At 43.5% G+C, this 19,977-nt stretch overlaps 1 protein-coding gene and 1 non-coding gene across 3 annotated transcripts in view; both read right to left on the bottom strand.

Annotated features, from left to right (window-relative positions):
- TLN2 (talin 2) overlaps positions 1–19,977 on the bottom strand; it is a 454,082-nt gene that overhangs the window by 16,936 nt on the left and 417,169 nt on the right. For both annotated transcript variants that reach the window (NM_015059.3, NM_001394547.1), the window contains 3 exons: positions 17,664–17,771; positions 8,075–8,180; positions 7,086–7,210 (listed from right to left, as the gene is read on the bottom strand). In NM_015059.3, coding sequence (NP_055874.2) covers positions 7,086–7,210; positions 8,075–8,180; positions 17,664–17,771 — 339 coding nt within the window. The remainder of the gene's footprint in view (positions 1–7,085; positions 7,211–8,074; positions 8,181–17,663; positions 17,772–19,977) is intronic.
- MIR190A (microRNA 190a) lies at positions 3,655–3,739 on the bottom strand. Its single transcript, NR_029709.1, has one exon. It is a non-coding gene; the product is annotated as a microRNA 190a (primary transcript).

The following is a 19,977-nucleotide window of genomic DNA, read 5'->3' as shown; positions in this document are numbered from 1 at the left end:
CAATAAAAATTCTTCTTGCTATTTCTGATTACAGCCTAAATTCATTATAAGTAAAACCCACAAATCAGTAAGCGTCAGGTACCAAACAGCATAGATGGGCACCAGCTCCTCTCTCAGCACCCAACCAGGAGTGGGACAATCCGGGTGGTAGTCACTGTTCTGTACTTTGACTATGTGACTGTGGAGTCTTCGCTGCCCTTTCTCCAGGTATCAGTTACTCAGTTTTCTGTCACTGGAGGAGCAACTCAACCTTCCTGGTCCTTTTGCCTAGACATGGACAGTTCCAAATTAAACTTCTCTTAGAAGGCGGTGACTAAAATAAGCAGGAACTACCTTTTCTCTTCTGATTTCTCTTGACCTCCTCCTCAATATCCTTACCAACATCCCCCACTGCCCCCGCTCCTCCTCAACGTCCTTACCCACTTCCCCTGCTCACTGTCCTTGTCAGGTCCTGGGCAAGTGTTGGGCAGGGGAAGAGAATGTCCTCCCATGGTCTTTTTCTTGGCCTTTTCTTATGCCCTGCAACCCCACAGCTCCTTCCGCCAATGAACTTGAAGGTGAAGGAGCATAAGGCATGCATAGGAGATGGCCAAAGGGCTTGCCTCCCTCCCTGAAAACTTACTTTGAGGGAATGCTTTGTTGAGAGCTAAAAACACAATGGTCGCCCTTCTCACAACTGGCTCCACAAACTGAAGAACCACCCGTGTCATCTTTCCAGTGGGGTCTCAGGCTTTGCTCTGTGTTACTCAGAGTCTTGCAGAATGCCTGCTACTAAAAATAAGGTCATAGTGCATCAGAAACTTTAAAAAAACCCTCTTGGATATATATTTTTTAAAGTGTGAACATTTTGCATTTAATTTAAATGTCCTTGAGGGAAAAAAGGAGGCCAGTGTCTAGAACTCCCACAACAGGAGTGAGGCATTTTCCTGCCAGTTGGAAGCCGGAGTGGAGCAGGCAGCCACATTTCTCTTTTTTTTTTGTTGTTGCAAGTTTGGCTGCTACTAGTTTGCTTCTGGTATTGAACTGAGAGGTGCCTTGAGGGAGGCCTTAGCCTGTATGCAAAGCCCCAAACTGTGCAAAGGTTAGATCAGCTTCTCCTCTGGAGGACCCATGGATGGGGTGGCTTCAGGACTGCCACCTTTATTAGTTCAAACAAAAGGTACACCTCCCAGAACAACTGGAACTGCTAAGAGCCAGGCATGGACAGCTGGCCTTGTCTCAGGGAAAGCTCCAGAGAGACCTTAAACAGGCAAAATGGGTGGCAGAGAAACTGCCAAATGGCTGTGCCTGTGACTGGGGAGGGACCACACCCTCCGCATCCGAGGAATACGCGCGAGTTCATGCAGTGTCTGCTGGAAAAGGTCCGCACCTGCATGATTAGTATCTTGGGAGTAGTTTTCCCATAGTATCCATTGCTTTACTTTTGTGTTCAAAATGGAAAGCAACGCCACTGAAATAATCTTTTAATCACTATTTCTGTTTAAGGGGCCCTTGAATGTCGATATAGAAAGCACAGACAAAAGATAACAGGGTTCTTCCCAAGCTGTATCAGATAAACTCCCTACATCTTAAGCCCCCTTTCTGTGTCTGTGAAGGATCTGACAAGGACCTACTGGTCTACCCTGGAGGGGAGTCTCCCATACTTGCTTTTCTTATTTATTTATGTTTTTGAGACCGAGTCTCACTCTGTCACCCAGGCTGGAGTGCAGTGGCACGATCCCGGCTCACGGCAACCTCCGCCTCCCAAGTTCAATCGATTCTCAGCCTCCTGAGTAGCTGGGACTACAGGCGTGCACCACCATGCCTGACTTATTATATATATATATAAATATATATATATATAATATATTTATATATATTATATATTATAATATATATTATAATATAATATATAATATATATTATAATATATAATATATTATATAATATATAATTATAATTATATTTAATATATATAAAAATATATTTTTATATATATTTATATTTATATATATATTGTATTTTTAGTAGAGACTGGGTGAAACCCAGCTGTTGGTCAGGCTGGTCTCGAACTCCTGACCTCAAATGATCCGCCCACCTTGGCCTCCCAAACTGCTGGGATTACAGGTGTGAGCCACCATGCCCGGCCCCATACTTGCTTTTCACACCCTGTATGCTCCTGGTCTGGAACCAATGAGTGCCACTCAAAGCCCAAGTGCAGCCATACAGAAAATGCTGTATTTGTCCTCCTCCTTCCTGAACAGTTGGTTCCTTTTTCCCTTCACCATATTAATCACTACAGAGAACATGCTGGTCAGTGACAAAGTCACCCAAAGAAACAAGAAAATCACATCAATTCAAACAACTGGGCTTCGTCTGCAGGTCCTTTTGAAACCATGTTTTTCTTTGTTCGTAATAACTTGCTGTCTCTTTTCCATGGCCATTTGCCATTTCAGTCAAACAATGTAACTGGACTCAAAACCAAAGCCGGTGTTCTCTAGCTGTGTGAAGGAGGGACTGATTGGGGCAGCATCTTGAAACCCGCCTGACAGAGCACCTGCCAACACACACAGATCGCTTCTCAATGGAGAAGGATTCCAGAGACAGGATCCATTATGTAACTCCAGAAGCCAGGACTCCAACATTACAGGACCCTCTCCTGTGTCATCACCTCTCTGATGTTGCTGTTGGTGACCCTGTCACTATGCATTCACCTGTAAGCAATGTGGCAATGACTTCTAGACACAGTAAGGGGAAGCTTTCATGACTACCTGTTTAAACCATTTGCTTACACCTTTTCTCCTCCAAAACATTGAGAACAGTAGTTCTCTTTCCAGAAAGCAGTGCTCACAAAGTATTTTGTTTGTTGAGAGAACTCAGAATGAACTCACACATACTTCACAGGCTTTTCTATAAGGAAGAGGTCAAAACCAACCAAAGAAGGCTGTTATGTACCAGAAAAAATGTTTTCTATATCATAATCCCAAACTTCCTGCCACAGTCAATTAGGCTATGATATTACTTTCCGATTGTTGGCTTATTCTAAATATTACCAACCTCCACTGACAAGTTAACCTATAACAGGAAATTCAAGAGTTCAGTCAACATTATATTACCTTCATGAGATATATTTAGTCCTATATCCAAGGTTTGTACAAAGCTCACTGACTCAGTATCCATGCAGCTGGTATGGAGGATTTGCTTTATACATTCTGTTACTGTGAGTGGAAAGGGAAGTCATAGAAAACTGATCTGTGCTCCTTGAATTTTTGCTGAAACCCTGACATGAACTTCTAAATTGAAGATCAGGATAAAAATGAACCAAAATGAAACATGAATCTAGATGTGTTTGAGGCTATAATCCTGACCTTTATTCTGTGTCACAGACATGGGTTGGAACCGTTTTTTCCACCAAGCATATTGAATTCCTTAAGGATTCATCACTGCACAAAACTAAGCCACACAGAATACCCCAGGCTCTTATGAAACATCAACACTTATTGTTTCTATAATAAGCAAGTAATCCAGTAATACTGATACAGGTCTCAAATGCTATAAGAAGAAATGGAAGATAACATGAATTGTAATGAGTGCTCCATCTTCTAAATCTACTTGTGATTTTAACGTGTTCTTTCCTGTTGCCTTATAAACTTTATTAGGAACCCCCGGAGACAGGGCAAGACACTGTAGGAATATGTTTGATATATAGTTGGATTAAATAACAACCTAATATATCAAACATATCACACAGAGGCCTGCAGAAAAGGCATCCAGGTTTGACTGAGCTCGAGACTAGGCACAGTATTGAAGGTTACGGCTGCAGGGGGTGGTCACTTTTGCAGCAACTCCGATAACTGTCTTTGGAGCACAAGTCTGCCTGCAGATGTGGAAACGGCGCCATTAACAATACTGTCAGCACATGCACCAGCGCTCACTGACATTCTCATCTCCCCAGGTGAACAGCAGATTCAACGGTGCATGTCTGGGAGATCCCAGGCAAAAAGTGATGCTTAAGTTTTAAGAGCCTGAGGTGGAAATGTACCAGAATCATCATCAAAGACCATGAGCCATTCTCCTTTAAAAACAGGCAACCTGAGACGGTGGTGAGCAGAGCATTTTAGACAAAATTACTGTCTCTCCCCAAACTCTTCCTGAAAGCAGTGTGAATACTCCCCAGAAGGAACACACATCCATTTTATACTGAAGGCATGTGTGTGTACCAGGGTAGGGTTATAGGGATGTAATAAGCAATTGTTTACTGACAGTACCCTGAGGATTTTTTTAAGGTTTTGGGAGAGAATGGAGAGAAGTGATTCAACTCAAAAGACTGGCTGATTTTGGTGCAGATTGTTGTTATTGTTTTTTAATTGGGGAAATAAATTCCTTTATAAAGGCAAGGAAGATATTTCATGCAAAAGTTATTGCAATGTGCCCTATTAGGCACAAAAACTATGGTTTGGGTTGCAGGTTTTCCAAAACAGTTTCATAGATAATATCCACCTCTGGCCATCAGGCAGAGAAAGACTTCAGACCATTGTGAAGCATTCTAGAAGTACCCATCACCCTTCCTAATACGATGGGAGTGAGCTAAGGTAGGAACCCTCAAACAAAGGATTCACATCATCAGTTATGTTAACCTTGACCTTGGCCGAAGGACTCCTTGGCTTTCCTGTAAAAACCCTCAATGTAAACACAAAGGCTATATGATCCTAGAGTACTGTAGGGAGTCCTCACAGGCCTACTTCAGCAGTCATTAATTTTTAAGGTGCTGTTATTTTTTAAACCTTTGTTTTATAAAATGTTAAAACACAGACCCTTCCATCATCCCAATTCCATCATCATTCTTGTACATTCCCTACTTATTTTCTTCATCTGTGAGTTTTTAGAGTTGTAATCATAATAAGTACATAATTCTGCATCCTTTCTGTTATACCATGAGCATTTTCTTCGTGCTACACAGTCCTAGCAACCATTATTTTTCATAGCTGCATAATATTATAGCTGCATAATATTCCTTCGAGGAGTAGCTCTAAGGGCACACATAAACTACAAATGGCCTTTGTGGGACTAGACAAGCCTTCTCTGACAATGGGGTGGGAAACAGGGGCTGGTATGGACTGAAACTGCCACCCAGGGCCATACATAGCCCTCCCAGCTGAGTGACAGTGGTCGGACCCTGGCAAGGTAATTCGCCTCTTGGTGCTTCTGATTCTAATGGACTTTTTCCAAGGATCAGATGAGTGACTCCCATAAAGTACCCAGAAGACTGCCTGGCACAGGCTTGGCAGCTGAACAACGCGAGCTTCCTGGTTTTCTTTCTTCAGGGGCCAGTGGAATAATTTTTATTTCAGGCATTTCCTAGGGAGTAAGTCCCAGACACACATTTTCAGTGATGATGGTGATAATAATGGTGATATAGTTACTATCTACCAAGTCTCACTGTATGTCAGGCAGTGTTCTTATACTATCTTATTTAATTATTATAACAATAATCCTATGGGGTAGGAACTTTAATAATTTTGTTTTCCCATCTGGAGTCGTGAAGTGAACGACCAGACACGGGGAAACCAGGACTCAGACAAGAGCTCAGAAGGACCCTGCGGAAGGACAAAGGGAAAGACATTGAAACAGGAGCTCTTAGAATATGGTGAAGTGTTAATGTTAAATTAGCACCAGGCTAATTCTCCAGGAGAACGAATGTGTCAACTGACATGGCTTCGGCATTAGCGGACAGAGCCCTCCCCAAGAAAGGCCATCGTGATAAATCAGACAAGGAAATGGAAAAACATCATGCACCAAACCTCTAAATCTTAGTTAATGGTTGACTCTTAAGTTTAAAGTACACTTTTCATTCACGATTAACTTGACTGACAAAGCAGAAACAAAGGCGTAACCAGAAAATGGAGTTGTCCCAACACCCACACTTGGCTCTTACTCTGACAATATCAGGCAACCCAAGACTCCCAGGTAGAGTCCAGCAGAGAGAGCCCTGGTAAACCCCACAATCAGAAGCCCAAATCCTTAAGTTACATCTTGATGAGAAAACGTTTAAGTGCCTTTACCAAGTCCAGAGCGACTATTAGGAGGTTGGTTCTAAGCACTCGAAGGTTTTAATAATGTTCCCAAGCTGAACAGACTCAGTCTGTGTTTATTTCATACACTACACTGGCCCAGGCACTGCTTTTGAGTGGTCTGCTCTGTTTCAGGGCCCAGACTCCATCCCTTGGTCTTACAAAAATAGGTAAATTTTTAGGTATACCTAAATTGGTGGAATCCAGCCCTTTTTTGAGGGGAAAAGCCAAATATTATTTCCTAGTATATCTGGGTCCTTGGAAATAGATGAGTTACATGCACCACCAGGGACTTACTTGAATAGGAAGAAAAACAGGCCGCCTCTGGTTCTACCATTTTCCTGCTGAAGACAGCTATGGAAGGTGGGGTAGGAGGTATTAGCTTAACAGGATTGGGGCTTTGCCCCTGGAGACAGCACTAGCTTGTCATCCTTTTATTTAGAAAGTGTCCTTCCTCCTGCCTAATCTAAAAGTATCTCTTTCCTTTAAATGGCTATTTCTCTTCACATATACCTATAATCTTAAGTTTTAAACATTTATCTACATGACAAACACAGAAGGAAAAAACATACCAGCTACCCATCCTCTCCAGCATATACTGACAAAGCCTGGAGTGGGTGCACTTTTGAAGTTCTCATTGCCCTCTGATTCCCAGCAGTGCTATTTCTTTGTAAAAAGCAAAAGAGAAACCAGAAAATTGGAGGCTAACAATCTCCTCTCCAGTAACAGCAACTTCTGACAGAAAGCATCCAACACCTGCTTTAGATAATGAACTAAATCAAGACTGCAAATGCCCCAATTCTTCCTTTGGATACTCAGAGGAATTTTTCTGGGTGGTTAACTTGAAAGACTCATCAGCCATTTTTTTACCCCCATACTCTAAAGCAGTGCCGGGCAGGTAGATCCGGTTTTCTGCTTGCTAGTCTGACCATAAGGAAGGAGCCAAGCTCCCTGCAGCACTCCTAGCTCCATTTCACAGCCACCCACTGGAAGAACCCACTGACATCGGACAGCCAACCATAAATGAACACTTACTTTTGGTTTTGCTCTTGGCTTCAGTTGCTCTAACTTCTTAGCAGCAGCTTCGATGGATGCTGCAGCCCCCAGTAACTCTGTTTCTGCAATGACAGTTGGGTCTTCTGGATCCACCCACTCTGTTCCTAGAATCAGTCCAAAAGAAGGTGATTCTTCATAGCTGCAGACCTCAGGGCACTGGCTTAATTAAAAACACTATCTGGATTTGCATGCATGAAGGCTCCAGGAGCCTGACCTGCATTGTCCTAAGGAACCTTCCTTCCGTCTCTCATAAAGGCCATCTGGATGGGGGTGGGGGGTGGGGGTGCTAATCCTGGTTTTCTAAATCAGTTGCATGTATGGCCCTTCCACAGAGCAGTCACCAAGCAGCTTCAAAAATGATCTCACGGACCAAGGCTTGAGCTTTGCTCTGACTTTGAACTTAAAGCTCATGAATCTAAGTAAGCATCCTCAGGAGACACTACACTATGCTGTACATCACACAGGAATTTGCCATTCTCTTCTCCCTGGAACCCAGGAGGACTGACCCCTCACCTTAATTCAAAGTAAAGGAAATTGGTGAGAAGACCTTTCCCAGGTGGGTTGATTGCTTCTATGTAAACATAAAGGGTGTCCAAACAATGTTTTCAGGTAGCATCATTTTCAAAACATGAAGTACTATTTGAAGGAGAATAAATATCCTGATGAATGAAAATGCAGACAAAAAAGAAATGGGGAGACTCCAAGGAAAGTGAGTAGGTTCTAGGTGGAGGATACCATTTAAGTAGAAGCACTTAATACAAAGACTAGAGAAAAGACTTGCTTCAGGGAGGATGTTTCTTTTTCAAGTTAACTCTAAACCCATTTGCTTGCAGAAAGTCCTCACTGTATTCCTGGCTGCATCTGCCAGCTAAAGGCCATTGCCGTCTGTGCTTTTCCTCTGCTCAGTCTGCTGTATTAGCACTGCCTGGGAGGGTTGCCCTCCACCAAGACGTGAGAATCCAGCCTACCTTTCATGGCTTCCGCCGCCTGGATGAGCTCTGTCACAGCGCCGGCGACTCGCTTGGAGAAAGCGGCCAGCTGCTGCTTGAATTCTGGGGTTGGTTTCTGAAGAATCTACAGGTGAAGAACAAGTCAGAGGCATGAGGGGGATAGTAACCACTGGGACAGGAAAGAAGCACACTCCTCTTGCTGGATGTGGAGTCAGGCAGCCTGGTTTTAAGTTGCATCTCTGTCCCAAGTGACTTCAGAGCCTTGTGGAAAACCCTTACGACTCACTGGGTTTCAATCTCCCCATGTGAGAAATAAAAGGTTGGGAACCAGTGGTGCCTCTAAGGTCCCTCCTGACATAGCTCCTAAAGATCATAAAGGAGACAAAGTCCTTGTTTTCTATTTGGACCTTCATTTGTCCTTTATTTGTACATAAAACACACACATGCACCTGAAATTTAACCAAACTGTAAGAACATTCTGGCTGGGTACAGTGGCTCACACCTGTAATCCAAGCACTTTGGGAGGCCGAGGTGGGAGGGCTGCTTGAGCCCAGGAGTTCAAGACCAGCCTGGTCAACATAGCAAGACCTCATCTCTAATTAAAAAAAAATTAAAAATTGGCTGGGCATGGTGGCACACACCTGTAGTCCCAACTACTCAGGAGGCTGAGGTGGGAAGATCTCTTGAGCACAGGAGGTCAAGGCTGCAGTGAGCAGTGGTTGCATCACTGCACTCCAGCCTTGGCCAGAGAGATTGAGTCAGTCTTTAAAATAAATAAATAAATAAATAAATAAAAATAAAAAAAAAAAGAACATGCTGAGTAAAGGCAAAAGCCCCAAGCTATGGGCCAATCAGTACTTGTGACAAAATAAAGGACCAGAGGAAACACGCCACTCAAGTCCTTGAGACAAAATCCCTAAGTGAGCAACAACTAACTGCTCAGGAGGATCATTCTTGAGAAAACAATCCATTTCCAGAGTTTTGACTGCAAGCTCTCCTGGGAGAAGTCCTGAGGATTTGCCCTCTCTTTTGAATTAGTTCAAAAGTTTTCAAAAATTGTCTTTTGCTTTCTGTTTTTTATGGATTTAAAAAAAGGTACTGAGAATACTAAACACCTTTAAGACATCCCCAGCTGATTTCTTCTCAAACTCATCCATGAATGGAACCACGACACAGGATAAGAGCTCTTCCCCATCTTCCACCAGGGATCTAAATTCTAGTGCACACCATCCTATCCCTTCCTCATGTTGAAATTCTTCTTCCAGTGCTCTTTTCTGTTATCTCTTTCTCACGTTTCCCAATGGTGATCTTCAGATTTAGAAATGTTCAGACAGTCAGGAGAGAAGTATAACTGCTGTCTATCTCTGCACAATTTTGGAGCCTCTGAGTAGGGGACAAAGCATCAGCTTTGGAAATGAACAAACTTGTGTTCAAACCTGGCTTCATCCATTACCGGTTTTAAACCTGTTTTCTCATCTGTAAAGCTGGGATAATGCCTATGTCTCAGGGCTGGCACAAAGATCAAACGGAGGCTGGGCGCAGTGGCTCATGCTTGTAATCCCAGCACTTTGGGAGGCTCGGGCGGGTAGATCATCTGAGGTCAGGAGTTAGAGACCAGCCCGGCCAACATGGTGAAGCTCCGTCTCTATTAAAAATATAAAAATTAGCTGGGTGTGGTGGCGGGTGCCTCTAATCCCAGCTATTCAGGAGGTTGAGGCAGGAGAACTGCCTCAACAGAGGTTGCAGTGAGCCAAGATTGCACCATTGCACTCCAGCCTGGACCACAGAGTGAGACTCCATCTCAAAAAAAAAAAAAAAAAAAAAAGATAGAATGGAATAACACATGGAGAGTATTTCTCACAATGCTTGGAACACAATAGACATTCATTAAATGTGAATTCCCTTCTTGGTGCCCCACACTCCTTTCCCCTGCCCAGGTAGCACAGTCTTTCTCAGGAATCTGGAAAGATGGTTTTTAGACCCCAGGACTAACCCCTTTGCACCATGACTATAAAGAAAGCTTAGAAAAAAACCGATGAGAGGAGTCAATGGGTTACACCATGACCAGCCCTAGACACGGCAGTGTACAGATGACATTATGCGTACGCACAAATGGATTAGTCAATAATCTTTGAGCACTACTTCACATGTATCTATCCTCATCTTCCCTCCTCTTATAATCTTTTATACTTCTTTCATATTTGCTACTGTTCCATGATGATTCCAGGTGCTCTGTGATTCTCACTCTCTCACACTAGGGCCTATATATATATCATTCTGCAGATATTAAGAACTCAGCATAGACCTTTGAATGAACAAATTAATTAATGAGTGAAAAGCAAACCAATACATTATTGGGACAAGTCCTACTATGATGGCTTCCTAGACCAGTTCCAAAAGAACACTAGAGCCATGGAGAAATAGAAGGAAGGGGATAAATGCCTTTTACTTTCCAAGACAGCCAGTGGGCAGGCAATTTAGTTAGGCATAGGTTCAGCAGTCAATATCAATGTACCTGTGTACAGGTACTTATCCTCTCTCTAAGCCTCAGTTTATTAAGCGACCACAACAGTCTTCCTTTATAGAGCTGTGGTGAGGTTATATAAATTAATATATATATATAAAGAGCTACTGATAAAATTCTTCTGGTGTGTAGCCTGGGCATAAGAATTTTTTAAGTTCCCTGGGTGACTCATGTGGCCATAGTTGTAAACCACTGCTCTAGACTTAGATGGTGGCATTTGTCACCACTTAATTGCAAAAGGCTTGTACCATATTTGTCTGCAACAATATATGCTGTACGACTACCAGGTTATTAATAGTTATGGCTCAGGATCTCAGTAGCTAAGCAGTCCATAGGCATTGTTAAATGGTTTCTCTAAAGTGGCCAACACAGCATGAATAAGCAAAGGGTTAAAGGTATGGTGCGGACACTCATAATTAATGGCAAAAGACTGAATGATTTTCCCCTAAGCTCAAGACAAGGGAAGGATGTTTGTTCACATACTTCTACCAACATTCCCACAGAGTGGAATGATGAAAGACTTCTGTCTCTAAAAGGAGGGCCTTCAGTGAGAAGTGTACAACATGACAGCCCTCAGACAGGGAACAGCCCTGATAAAGAACCCGAGCTTTAGATAACGGAGGAGAAGAGGAGTTCTATTTTTATTCTGCCATTAAGTCAACATGATTTCTGATAGCAGACAACAGACAGATCCAAATTAAAGCTCTGCCAGTGGAAGCAAGGATAATTTTAGCCCTGCCAAAGATCTCAAACTGGTTTTGCAGAAATATTGAACTGTGATAGTTGCAGAGGCAAAGTAGCGGCTTTTTGTCCTGCAATACAAATCCTCTATGATAAACGAGCAAACAGCAAACGCAGGAGGCCACCATCATTCAAATGGACATCTCTAAAACATCATAAAGCAGCTCTCGGGGCAGCGGGGAGATGGCTCTGTCGAAATTAGATCCTATGTTTGTTGAGAGTTAACTGAATTCTCTAAAGGATTCCCCAGGCGGGGGTTTTCCATTTGGAGTCTCTAAATACCAAAAGGTTCTAACTAGGTTTTGTGGGTCTGTGACTCCTCTTAACAGTTTGGGGATCAACCTGTGTGTCTGTGCTGATGTTTCTTTGATGACGGTTGCAGAAGGCAAGAAATGACCCCGGGCTTTTAGCTCAAAGGGGCCCATGACCCACAAAAGATGAAGAATGCTGAAATCATGATAGTCATTGGCATCTGTAACACAGGCAAAGAGAGAATAGGAGTGGGAACAGATACAAAATGTATTATTATTGGTATGTTTGTTTAAAATATAAGCATCTGAAGCAAATAGGATAAACTGTTAACAAAATTAGTCAATCATAGATGATGGGTACATGGATGCTGCTATTAGCTTCTGTATTTATTTAAGCATTTTCCAAAGAAAAACTAAAAGATACAAACCAGCCAAAAAAGCCTAAGAATCCTTGGCTCTAGATATTTTAACAGAACAAGGCTAAGACACCATAAACTCATGCATATTTTTATGTGCCGAGATTTAAGAAAAGCAGCTCACTGAAGAGGATCCCCGATTCTCCATGTACCACCTGAAAATGACCTCAACTTATTTCTGCAGATTGCTGGACACTTTTTCTAAACCTTGATTTCTGGAATTTTCTCTTTCCCTTTTTGTAAAAAATGAACAATTATCTGACCTTTCTTCAGCTCTCAGGAATCTCCATCGATTCTCCTTGAATTGTTAAAAACGGGATCAATTTTTCAAGCATTTCAGGAAGACTACCCTAAGATCTACAGGTACAGTCTGGTTTTAGTCAACTCTTTTTCAGAATGGAGAGGCCATGGTCATATGATCATACAGAGTCTTTCTGCAGAGACCAAAGAACAGAGTGAAGGGCAGAGCGAGTGAGTGTGTGTGTGTGTGTGTGTGTGTGTGTGTGTGTGTGTGTGTGTGTGTGTGTGTGACAGACAGAATAAAAATCTCCAGTTTTTAATTGCTTTTTAAATCTATCACCTGCAAATAACTAATCAAATTTTAGTAGATATTCTTTTCTTCTACCCCAAAAAGAATTTCAACAAAATTCTGATGTCTTCTCTAGATTAGCAATTTGGCTTTCATTTTCTGATTGTCATTAGAATCCCCTCTGAAAACGAACACTACTTCCCAGGCTTGGGCATTCTCATTTTCCTCATTTCTTGTTGGACCTTCATACAGCACTGGCCGGTCAGTCTTGCGGCTTGCAGGACTCTCAGTGTGAAACAATACTCCTCTTTCTTATCCTTATTTTAACCCAGATTTCTAGGAGTTAAAGCTAACTGTGTGAACGTGAATTTATTTTTGGCAGCAGACCTAAGACAATGACCTATGTCACCACAATTTAGGTGACCGAATACTGTTGTGAGGGTTTCTATAATTTTTCACCAGGAACTTGTATTTTTTATATGTTTATGATAATTCCCTAGAAAGAGGCTTGTTTTCGGCCTATATTTTTAATAGAAAATACTCTTCAAAGACTGTCTTGCTTTTTAAGGAAAAAAATATATGAACATGAACAAATAAATGAATACATAATGCTATTTCATTCACATCCTTGGATGTCAGAGCCATCAGCACTTGTCACCCTCAAGGGGGAAAATTCTTTTTTTTTTTTGATAGTTTTATCTTTGATTGTTTCACTCTTTAACATTCTATAAACAACAACCAAGACCACTGAGGGAGACTAACTAGATTATAAATGGATTAGGAGCTACTTGAAGGCAAGGGCCATTATGTGCTTAGCTTATATTTCTTTTGTGTGGTCTATAGAAGGAAGTCAATAAAATAAACAATGACTTAATGAATCAACCATAAAGCCCAAATGATAAGTCTTTTTCTTGTATTCCCCTTCTTTCAGCGAATATTTCTGAAGTCCCCTTTTTTCCATTATTTCTCCAGTTTTTTTCCTGCCTTCTACTGGTTCATGTTTTCTCAAGATCTAGCCTTGACTCTATTCTTTTATGTCTATACTGTATGCTCTTAATAAAACCCCATATTGGCCAGGCCTGGTGGCTCATGCCTATAATCCCAGCACTTTGGGAGGCCAAGGTGGGCAGATCACCTGAGGTTAGGGGACCAGCCTGGCCAACATGGTGAAACCCCATCTCTACAAAAAAGACAAAATTAGCTAGGCCTGGTAGCTCGTGCCTGTAATCCCAGCTACTTGGGAGGCTGAGGCAGGAGAATCATTTGAACCCGGGAGGCGGAGGTTACAGTGAGCCAAGATCATGCCATTGCACTCCAGCCCAGGCAACGAGGGCAAAACTCTGTCTCCAAAAAAAAAAAAAGCCCATATGCATGAATAAAAGCCTTCAACTGCCAGCACTAGAACTATATCTCCTCCATCTTTACATCTAGAGAATGTATCAAATGTACAGTATGCCTAATTAAACTTAGGCACATTGTAAATTTTATAGATTTATCTATAAAATCTCCCTTTCTTCTGCCTTGCCCTGTCAATAGCATTACCGTGATCCTAATCTTGGAGCTGGAGAACTTTGGAGGTAACTTTTAATCTTGCTTTTCATTGCTTCTCATACTTAGTTGCTAACTTTTGACAATTTTATCTTTAAAATATATTTGGATCTTTTCAGTCTCAAGGGGGAAAAATCCTTATCGCAAAAGATGAGATGGATTCTGTTTCTTTTATAGGAATAGTTTTACTATCATTTAGCTTTTCTTCCTATTAGTGATTTCATTTTAGTACCAACTACCCTAAACCTCTGAATGGCCTTAGAGAACTAGGACATTGATATATCTACCATAGTTACAAACTACAATGACAATAATTGTATACAATGAGGACAAGAAACTCAGCTGGCAGGCTTTTAACAGATATATCAACCATGCAAGTTTGTAACACACAAGATTTAAGAGTACTGATTCTACAAAAAATACAAGGAAGAATCCATAACAGAAAATCAATCAACTGAAATGTCAATGGTCACCAGAGAAGCACGTCTGGCCACAAAGTGCAATCTGTTCTTGCCTAGGCCCTGGCAAAGAAAGTAGTGGTCACTCTCCCTCCTTCCGATCTCCAGCCTCCATGAGATGAGATCTGATGGTGACCTCCTGAATGACCTGTGATGGTGGGTCTCCCGTCAGTAAGTGCCCTTCTTCCTGTTACAGAAAAAGCTGCCGTTTACCATCAGGGCTGATGTTGACATAGCGACTGGGTGGCCACTAAGCAGGAGTCTCTGAATGTGTGGCCTGGGAAAGTTCCTAGACCTTCTATAATGTTCCTAGAGCTCCTGGACCTCTTGGCCTCCCCTCAGGCAGAGGCCAGCCATCTGCCCGCCCGCCCCTCGGACAGAGGCACACCATACACACAAGACAGCCTTGTCTTATTTTGCTCACCCAAACGAGGTGGGCATGGAGAGGGGAAGTGACAAGAAAGGAAGCACTTGAGCAGATCCAACACCTCATTCCCGGATACTGGGATAGGGTTTAGAGTCGGCATGCAGTCAGGGAAGTGACCCTGTTACAGCTCCATTTTCCTTTCCCCTGAGAGACACTTCTCCCTAAGACAAATGCTGGCACCTGCCCTTCCTTACGAAGAAAGAATTCCTCTCCCCTAAATAAGCTGCATTTTTGCTGGAGAATGAAAGGGGAGACCTTCACTCCATTTCCATCCAGGCCTTTGTACGTGTCAGACATAAAGCTGCAGGCAGACCCCACACAGTGACATTCTTGTTAAATGACTCACCAAGGGCAAAGGTACAGATTGCCAACCTGAGGCCCATGTGTGCAGGGCCTGGACCCATAGATGTCATGTACATTATCAATGCTGCACAGGTGCTGGAGAAAATACGGTTCAACTAAGAAATGGAACTGGGGAGAAGTGAAATGGAAATACGAGGATCCCTGTATCTCCTCCCTTCCCCCAAAATGAACAAGACAACAGCAAAAGCACGAGAGAGAAAAAATAAGGAGAAATGGAGCATAGGGGGAGAGCTCCCATTTAGGAGGCAGAGGCCACTGCTGCTGCAAGCCCACCGTTAGCAAGTACCACCCACCAGCCAGAAATGGCACCTTCCCAGTGGCAGATTTTATTTATTTATTTATTTATTTATTTATTTATTTATTTATTTATTGAGATGGAGTCTTGCTTTGTCACCCAAGCTGGAGTGCAGTGGTGTGATCTTGACTCACTGCAACCTCCACCTCCTGGGTTCAAGCAATTCTCCTGCCTCAGCCTCCTGAGTAGCTAGGATTACAGGCACCCACCACCATGCCTGGCTAATTTTTGTATTTTTAATAGAGGTGGAGTTTCACAGTGTTGGCCAGGCTAGTCTTGAACTGCTGACCTCAAGTGATCTACCAGCCTCAGCCTCCCAAAGTGCTGGGATTCAGGCATGAGCCACCGCACTCGGCAGATATTAATAAGGCATTCAGCAAATGTTAGCTTGGCCACAAAGCCCTAGGTTTCCAGACATGCTCATTTCATCCTTAATAAACTGCCTGTTTAACGTCTGAGGAAACTGCACCCCAGATAACACAGTGGCCATGTAGCTACTTAGGTGGCAGAACCAGGATTTGAACTTGAGGCTTCTAAATCTACTGATTGCACCCTATTGTCCAATTTTTAGTTATAACAAGGTTCTATATGACTCAGAATATACTGTTCCATAATGAAAAAGAGGTCTTTGGAAAGCCTTGCTGGTGTTACTGTCTTTAACCTCCATTTCCTGCTAGGCACACTTACAGACTGAACACTTTAACTATTTCCCAACCTGTCTAGCTAGAGGCTCTTGCCTGTGAATGCTGACTGGCTAAGATGTCTTTCCTTGGCCTACATATGATACACTGATCTCTATTTACAAGGGTTCAGACTTTGGGAGCTCAATGTTAGTGACCCCAGACTGGCTACTTTCCCAAAAAATGCACTTCAGAATTGACCACAGTTACCTGGATAAAGAATAAAAATAATGATCCCTTAAATGACCTAAAATGTTTAGCATCAGAAGATAATTTATTTCTAAGAAGGAGGCAGTGAAATGCCCAGAGCTGGGAATAGTAAGAATTGAGATTTGGATCCAGCTCTGTTGCTGAACAGATGGGTGACTTCAACCAAGGGACAAGCTTTCTGGGTCTCAGATCAATCTGTTGGCCATAAGCCTCATGGCTGCGCAAGGACAGAATGAGAAAACTTGAGAATGCCCAGCAAATGAAGGGCTTGGCACTCCTCCTCTAGCTATGTGAATTATGTATCTAAAGGTGGCCTGTTGGATCTCTTTTGTTAGGTTTGGTAAGAGCAAGGGTAGTGATGGAGGAGAGACATCATCAACGCTCTTCTGGGGGTGTCCCTGACTATGGAGGCCTGCCCTAGACCTTACATGGTTCTAAACATGGCTCCTGAACTCAGCAGAGACAGATACACACTGTACCTACTTCTTGGTGCTCCGTGGTTTGGTCCTTAGGGTTTGTAGCGAGTCACGCCTCCTTAGGAACTGCACAAACTGAGGCTCCCACGTGGGCAGCCCACCAGCCATGACTATCTACACCCCTGCCTGGTGTCTTCTGCTTATGCCTTCCTAACCCAGCTCCACACTAGGCACACTAGGCTGGGGGAGTCATTCTCGATGGGATCTAAGCCATTCATTCGAGGATGGAAGTTGTGAAGGGCTGGTGGGTCACTTGCAGCACTGGCAGCCTCCCTCACTTGCCACGGAGGCTGGCATGGCTCTGTCAGAAGCCTTCCATGTCCTTGCAGGATGTACTGGGGGTTTCCTAACAAGACCTCCTGATACTTTTTCAGGTTGGCACTGGCCGCCCGCCCACTTTGTCCTTCACTCTGCTCCCTCTTCCTTTTACATGCTATTCCTGCCTTTTAGGTGCATGAGAGAACTGGGCTTTCCTGAATTCTAACTGCAACTTCGTCCAGACCGCACTTTTAGCTCAGTGTGCCGGATCAGTGCATCAGGGGAGATTCCAGTTCAATCCAGTCCCAGCCTCACAGTGGCAATGGACAGGGCTCTGAGAGAGGTCTTCCCAAGGAAAGCATAGTTTGAATCAGCCAGGACAGCTAGAGGGACACAGCTACTCCCCAGCCCTGACTCATGCGCTTTCTTACCACCAAGACGTGCTCCAGGAGGTCCAAGTAGCCAAGGGTGCACTCCGTCCCGAAACGCAAGGCTCTGGTTCTCACCTCGTCACTGACATCGGGGTGGAAGGATGCTTGCTGGAGAGAGAAAGGAATGCTGAAATCTTAACATGGGAAAAGCCAGCATTGGGCAGTCCCAGACTCAGAGGCAAGAGACCTTAACCCTGGTGACCTCAAGAAACTGCCCTGACTCCCTGGACAGAAGAGGTATCTCTCCTCTACGTCCTCCTGCCACCTCCCACCTGCCCACAGCAGGCCCTCTGATGCAGTCTGTGTGCAGACTTTGTTAGTGCCCTGGGGCCAAACGATAGAAACAGCTCAATCTGGACCTTTGTTCCTCCTTTTCCCACCCCACATTTTTTTGAAATGCAAAAAATTCCACATGCACAAAAACATCCAGGCAAGATTCATGATCAGCGCTTACAGCTGGAGACGTACTGACCTAGGGTCAGCTTTGCCTCTCTTTAGCAGCTTAAGGGGTCCTGAAAGCCCCTCTCTGCTCACAGGCTAATTAAGCCCAGGCTCTCACCCCTGGGCCTGACCATGCTGCAGTCAGTGAGGTCTCTGTGACCAGGGCCCTCTAGCTCCTGGGAAACTTCAGATAGCTAGCTCCCCAGTACCCTAGAGGCACCATAACTCATCTCATATTATACAAAAGTCGAGATACACAAACCAGCACACATGCTTAACACAGCATCTTGAGCTTTTTTCTTGTACTTACGACCTGCTAACTTGAGTCATTCATGATTACATCATTTCTGAAGGGATACCCATTCACAGAGTCACCAGATAAAATGCACCCAGTTAAATTTGAATTTCAGATAATCAATGAAAAAAAATTTTTAGCAAGTATGGGACATCCTATTTTTTATTTTTTACAACTAGCAACCCTACCCCTTCCTTCTACAGCTTCCCTCTGGAAAGAAACTGAGGGGCTTGCAGAAATACATAAAACTACAAATACACTGCTAATCAGGACAAACACAAATCACACATTGGGATAAAAGGTAAAAGCTGAGGGCAAAGACCAGGATCCATGTTTTATCCACTCAAGCCCCTCTTCCTAGGAATGTGAGTGCTGATGGGAATACCTTGGGCTCCCCCCTTGACTTACCCCCAGTCCCTGGACAGAGTGGGGCTAATTCTCATGGCCAGCATGTCATGTATGAGCCAGCTTTTCCTCATCTGAGGACTAATGGGCTCGGAGGCAGGAACCAAAAGCCATGCTCCCAGCCACCCACCATCACTTGTTGTTCATCCTCATACCCCTGTGCCTCGAACGGTGAGGCACAAGGCCCCACGTCTGTTTGATGAGACACCACTGCGGGAAGACACAGGCCCGGATGCTACTCAGAGTCACTTCCAGCAGGTTATGTGCAAGCCCGTGTGTAGGGAGTGGGAGAGGTGGAGCTGAGGTGCTTGCGTGCACTGCTGGGGGCTCTGTAACCGGGTAGAACCCTTTGGGAGAACAATGTGGCACTAATTAAACTCTTATACTATTGGACCCACTAATTCTATTTCTAGGAATCTTGCCTAAGGAAATAATCCAAAGCACAGAAAAAAACAGATATGCCCAAAGATGTTTACTGCAGTAAAGTTCATGATTTTTAAAAAATGCAGACAGCCTAAATATCTGTCAACAGTGGGAAGATAATATTCATTAAGGGTATTTTGTAGTCATTAAAAAGTCAGCAATATAGCAACACAGAAATAGCTTTATAACATTAATTATAATAGTAGACATAAAATTATATCTAATATACAGATGTGCAAATGAAAGTAAGACTAGAAAGAAATATGCATGAGAATTAACTTAGGGTTTAGGTAAGTCTTTCTCTCTGCCTAAGGAACTGCAGTAATCCTTCCATTCTAAGATGAGCCAGTATGTAATTTTCTGCCCCTCCGTGTGTGGGCTGAGTAGGGTAACCAGGGAAAAGGCAGAGCTGGACTAGGGCGACTCGGCCCTTCTGCTTGGCATTTAAGGCTTCCGTCTTGACCACCACTCAGCAACCCAGGTTTCCTGTCTATGCATTATTGCATGCGCTCCCTTTCGGCCAGAGGCCTCATTTCCATTTGCAAAGGGGTGAGGGATACAGGAGATCAAGGGAAATGGAAATGTTAGTGAGTTCGCTAAGTCAGTCCTATCCTAACAGGAGCATCAGGGCTCAGCAGTGACTCCTGTCAAGTCTGATTTTGGTGTGTGAAGCTGACATTCAGGCTTTAGAGCTCTGGCTGCTATCTTGTCCTGCAATGCCCAGATAACGCATCCCAGGGTCGAGATGAC

Source organism: Homo sapiens, chromosome 15 (assembly GCF_000001405.40).
Source record: "Homo sapiens chromosome 15, GRCh38.p14 Primary Assembly".
In the NCBI taxonomy this organism is placed as follows: domain Eukaryota; kingdom Metazoa; phylum Chordata; class Mammalia; order Primates; family Hominidae; genus Homo; species Homo sapiens.
The sequence above is the reverse complement of the archived record's forward strand: the minus strand, read 5'-3'. Positions and strand labels throughout refer to the sequence as shown.